We start from the raw sequence: 6,014 nt of genomic DNA on the forward strand, positions 1-6,014 counted from the left end.
TACAACTTGAACACTTGACCATTTCTACTGCTGTATTTTTTGTGAAAAACGAAAATTCAAATGTTTGTTTTATTATTTCCCACTATTTTTTTTTTTTTTTGTATATGGCTTAATATGTGCCACACTTAGGTAGTATGGTAAAGATGTAAAGGTACCTAGGCTTTGGATCTAAACAGACCTATACTCAAATCTCAGTTCTTGTTAGGGCTTGTACCTTGGGCAAGTTACTAATCTTTTTTCTCACCATTAAAATGAGAATTGTGTTTAGAAGTTTGTTATGAGGACTAACTATTTATGTAAAATTCTAGATACAATGCATTTGTCCAACCCCAAGTTCACAAAAGTCTGGTCATCCCCTTTTTGTAATTATAATTTGACTCTCATGTGCTTTTATTCAAATGAGAGAGAAACATAACTTTTCATCATAGCAACAAACTTAAAATAATGTCTTTTACTTATTATTGCTTGGAATCATCAATTATTTATGCTTTTTTCCTAGTCAAAGTAAACAAGTATGGAGATACTTGGGATGAGTGAAAAATTACATCATTGGACATGAAGGAGTTTCAACATCCAGCTTCATCTAGGTGGTCATGATTACCTGCATGCTTTGAGCTCAGCAGCAGTCTTCATAAACACATTTAAAACAAGATCCTGGGTTTTTGTGGTTTGACTTCTATGGTGTTTTAAAAAAACACAGATTTTTAGTGTTAATATTGTGTAAATGTACTCACCTTAGGGATTCATTTGAATGATGGTATTATACCATGATTGTATACAGTTTGTGAAATTGTTGCAAGGGCAAAGATAACTCTTAAAAAACCGTCGAGATTACAATGCTCTAGAATCAGCATATAAGAAAATAAATGATATCTGCATGTTGAATTGGGGTGGATGGGGGGAGCAAGCATAATTTTTAAGTGTGAAGCTTTGCATCAAGAAATTATTAAAAAGCTTTTTTTCTCCAGTATTTTCTGTATTATCTTAATGTTTATGGCAAATAAAATGTAAAGGAACATGCAACAGCCCTCATCTTCCTTGATTTTATGGTTTTATTGTTTGTAATTTATTGATTTATTTTTAAGCTAGTTATAATCATGTAGGTATAGGAAATAAAGTCATCTATAATATTTCTATAATATGGCTATAATATGGCTATAAATCTATAATATGGCTGGAGGCAGTGGGCAGTGGTTCATGCCTGTAATCCCAGCACTTTGGGAGGCCGAAGTGGGAGGATTGCATGAGTCCAGGAGTTTGAGACCAGCCTGGGCAACAAAGCGAGACCCTGTCTTTACAAAAAAATAAAAATTAGCTGGCGATGGTGTCGTGTGCCTGTAGTCCTAGTTACTTAAGAGGCTGAGTTGGGAGGATCAGTTGAACCCAGTGGTTCTGGGTTGCAGTGAGCTGTGGTCACACCACTGAACTCCAGCCTGTGCGACTGAGTGAGACCCTGTGTCTAAAAAAATAAAAATATAATGAATGTGATTTATGTAGATAAATTGATAATATAGTAAATAGGTAAATGCCTTAAAAAGCATTTTTAAAGAATTTGTAAATTCTAAAACAATAAAAATTTGGTATACATCACAGAGACTGATATTATGTTAAAAAGAAAAATTGGTGTACAGTGACCCTTCGTATCTGTGGGTTCCGTATCTGCAGATTCAATCAACTGCAGATTGAAAATATTTGAGGGAGAGAAATGGATGGTTGTCTGTACTGAACTCTTGTTATTCCCAAACAATACATTGTAATAACTATTTACATAGCATTTACATTAGGCATTACAAGTAATCTATAAATGACTTAAAGTATATAGGAGGATGTGCATTGGTTATATGTAAATACTACACCATTTTATAGTGGACGTTAGGAACCTGGACCAATAGACCCCCACCTAGTCACATTTTAGAAAGAACACATGGGATGGGAGATACCGCAGCCATCTTTCAGTCTATCATTTGGCAGCTGTAATTCACATCCCTTTCCTGAGGACCTCTGTTTCCTATGCCATTACAAAAGCTCAAAGTCTAGGAGCTGATCATCTAATCAGGATAAGGTATGGATGAGGCTCCTTGGGTAAAGCTTCATGAATAAAAGCGTCATGAATACCATTTCTCTGTCTGAAGGCCTGAACTTAAGAACTTATCTGCTTTGTTCACCTGTTAGGCATAACATCACTACTCTGGAGATTCCCATTCAAAAAGAGAAAAGGAAAGGCTTGGCTTGCAATTCTGAAGTCTAGCCAGCCTAATGTGGCTGTTCTTTGGGGCCTAGGTATATTCCCTGGGGGTTGTTCTCTGGTGCTTTTGACCCTGCCCTCTGATTTTTCCTTTTCTATTGAGGCACTTGTGTTTGCAGCTGAGTAGTTTTTTTTGTTTGTTTTTTAAAGCCTACTCCCTCACAGAATTTGGGGGTCCAAAGGCCTATTTTTACTACTACCCCTGTCCAAGCTGACATATTTTTTCATATTTTTTTCCTGTGTATTTCTCATGTATCAATTTATAATCCATTCTATTACACAAGAGCCACTCATAAAGTCTATTGGAAATAGTCCTTTTTCTATGTTGGGCTCCCTGTGAGGCTGATGAACAACATACTTCAGATTCTAAGCCTTGGACAGGGTCTAAAAGGCATGCTGGTAAGACACGTAGGCAATTTACATGTCTGAAATGTCTTAAGATGCACTCATCTTCCTGAGGTCTTGAGCAAAGTATCTTTTGCCCCACTTTGGATTTGGTCTTTGAGAGCCATTGAAAGGGCTATTCTGAGCCTTAATATGTCTTCCAAATTCCATTTGGGAGTGGAATAATTTGTTCTTTATACCTCTTCCTCATTTTATTTTGGATGGGTAGAAAAAGCCAAATGGCCCCAGACTCAACACTGCCAGGAAATCTTAGCTAGATCATTAGGCACATTTTCTATTTTTGGTGATAGCACAGGTAACAGTTTTGCTAAACTTACTGCTTAAAAAGGGGCTCTTCTAGCTTCCAATAACATTTTCCTCCCTCTGACATCCTCCTTGGAAGCCCTTTGGGCTTCTGCTAATGCCTTCCTCGAGGCCCTTTAGGATTTAACTAGCAATCTCTTCATGATCCTGGCAGCATCCATCTGCTACTTGGTCCCAAAGTGAATGCCATATGTCTTAGGTTCTTGTTGTGGCAGGACCTCACTTCCAGGTACAAAATTTCTATTTTAAAATTATTATTTTGGGGGGTACACACGAATATATATGGGTTACATGAAATATTTTGATACAGGCATGCAATGTGTAATCACATCAGGATAAATGGGATATTCATCCCCTCAAGCATTTATCCTTTGTGTAACAAATGATCCAATTATACTCTTTTAGTTGTTTTAAAATATATAATTATTTTAGACTATAGTCACCCTGTTGTGCTAGCAAATACTAGGTCTTACTCTATTTTTTTGTACCCATTAACCATAGACCCACTGCACCTGCCTGTCCCACTTGCAACTCACTACCCTTCCCAGCCCCTCGTAACCATCCTACTGTCTATCACCGTGACTTCAATTATTTTAAATTTTAGCTCCCATAAATAAATGAGAACGTGAAATTTGTCTTTCAGTGCCTGGCTTATTTCATTTAACATAATGAACTCCAGTTCCATCCATGTTGTTGCAAGTGATAGGATCTCATCCTTTTTTAAGACTGAGTAGTACTCCATTGAGTACATGTACCACATTTTCTTTATCCATTCATCTGTTTGTGGGACACTTAGGTTGTTTCCAAATCTTGGCTATTGTGAATAGTGTTACAGTAAACATTAGAGTGCAGATATCTCTGATATACTGATTTCTTTTCTTTTGGGTGTATACCTAGCAGTGGGACTGCTGGATTATATGATAGCTCTTTTTTTTTTAGTTTTTCGAGGAACTTCCAAACTCTTCTCCATCATAGTTGTAATAATTTGCATTCCCACCAACAGTGTATGAAGATTCCCTTTTCTCCATATCCTCACCAGCATTTCTTATTGCCTGTCTTTTGGATAAAAGCCATTTTAACTGACATGAGATGATATCTCATAATAGTTCTGATGTGCACTTCTCTGATAATAATGTTGAGCTCTTTTTCATATACCTATTTGCCATCTGTATGTCTTCTTTTGAGAAATGTCTATTCAGAGCTTTTGCCCATTTATTATAATAATATTACTATTTTGTTCTTTTTTTCTTCTTTTTATTGAAACAGGGCCTTGCTATGTTGCCCAGGCTGGTCTCAAACTCCTAAGCTCAAGTGATTTGGCGACCTTGGCCTCCTAAAGTGCTTGGATTACAGATACGGGCCACTGCACCTGGCCTATTGTTATTATTATTTATTTTTTTAATTTTATTATTATTATACTTTTAAGTTTTACGGTATATGTGCACAACGTGCAGGTTTGTTACATATGTATACATGTGCCATGTTGGTGTGCTGCACCCATTAACTCATCATTTAGCATTAGGTATATCTCCTAATACTATCCCTCCCCCTTCCCCCACTCCACAACAGTCCCCAGAGTGTGAGGTTCCCCTTCCTGTGTCCAAGTGTTCTCATTGTTCAATTCCCACCTATGAGCGAGAACATGCGGTGTTTGGTTTTTTGTCCTTGCAATAGTTTGCAGAGAATGATGGTTTCCAGTTTCATCCATGTCCCTACAAAGGACATGAACTCATCATTTTTTATGGCTGCATAGTATTCCATGGTGTATATGTGCCACATTTTCTTAATCCAGTCTATTGTTGGACATTTAGGTTGGTTCCAAGTCTTTGCTATTGTAAATAGTGCCACTATAAACATACGCGTGCATGTGTCTTTATAGCAGCATGCTTTAGAATCCTTTGGATATATACCCAGTAATGGGATGGCTGGGTCAAATGGTATTTCTAGTTCTAGATCCCTGAGGAAACACCACACTGACTTCCACAATGGTTGAACTAGTTTACAGTCCCACCAACAGTGTAAAAGTTTTCCTATTTCTCCACATCCTCTCCAGCCCCTGTTGTTTCCTGACTTTTTAATGATAGCCATTCTAACTGGTGTGAGATGGTATCTCATTGTGGTTTTGATTTGCATTTCTCTGATGGTCAGTGATGATGAGCATTTTTTCATGTGTTTTTTGGCTGCATAAATGTCCTCTTTTGAGAAGTGTCTGTTCATATCTTTCACCCACTTTTTGATGGGGTTGTTTGTTTTTTTCTTGTAAATTTGCTTGAGTTCATTGTAGATTCTGGATATTAGCCCTTTGTCAGATGAGTAGGTTGCAAAAATTTTGTCCCATTCTGTAGGTTGCCTGTTCACTCTGATGGTAGTTTCTTTTGCTGTGCAGAAGCTCTTTAGTTTAATTAGATCCCATTTGTCAATTTTGGCTTTTGTTGCCATTGCTTTTGGTGTTTTAGACATGAAGTCCTTGCCCATGCCTATGTCCTGAATGGTATTGCCTAGGTTTTCTTCTAGGGTTTTTATGGTTTTACATCAAACATTTAAGTCTTTAATCCATCTTGAATTAATTTTTCTATAAGGTGTAAGGAAGGGATCCAGTTTCAGCTTTCTACATATGGCTAGCCAGTTTTCCCAGCACCATTTATTAAATAGGGAATCCTTTCCCCATTTCTTGTTTTTGTCAGGTTTGTCAAAGATCAGATGGTTGTAGATATGTGGCATTATTTCTGAGGGCTCTGTTCTGTTCCGTTGGTCTATATCTCTGTTTTGGTACCGGTACCATGCTATTTTGGTTACTGTAGCCTTGTAGTATAGTTTGAAGTCAGGTAGCATGATGCCTCCAGCTTTGTTCTTTTGGCTTAGATTGACTTGGTGATGTGGGCTCTTTTTTGGTTCCATATGAACTTTAAAGTAGTTTTTTCCAATTCTGTGAAGAAAGTCATTGGTAACTTGATGAGGTTGGCATTGAATGTATAAATTACCTTGGGCAGTATGGCCATTTTCACGATATTGATTCTTCCTACCCATGAGCATGGAATGTTCTTCCATTTGTTTGTATCCT

General features: G+C 37.3%; 1 protein-coding gene across 14 annotated transcripts in view; it reads left to right on the forward strand.

Moving 5' to 3' along the window:
* The window catches only part of OCIAD1 (OCIA domain containing 1), a 56,660-nt gene extending 55,070 nt beyond the window's left edge, over positions 1–1,590 (forward strand). For all 14 annotated transcript variants that reach the window (XM_047415862.1, XM_024454112.2, XM_024454108.2 and 11 more), the window contains one exon: positions 500–1,590. In XM_047415862.1, the coding sequence (XP_047271818.1) occupies positions 500–537 (38 nt within the window). In that variant the 3' untranslated portion in view covers positions 538–1,590. The remainder of the gene's footprint in view (positions 1–499) is intronic.
* The last annotated feature ends 4,424 nt before the right edge of the window (positions 1,591–6,014 follow it).

Source organism: Homo sapiens, chromosome 4, assembly GCF_000001405.40.
Source record: "Homo sapiens chromosome 4, GRCh38.p14 Primary Assembly".
In the NCBI taxonomy this organism is placed as follows: domain Eukaryota; kingdom Metazoa; phylum Chordata; class Mammalia; order Primates; family Hominidae; genus Homo; species Homo sapiens.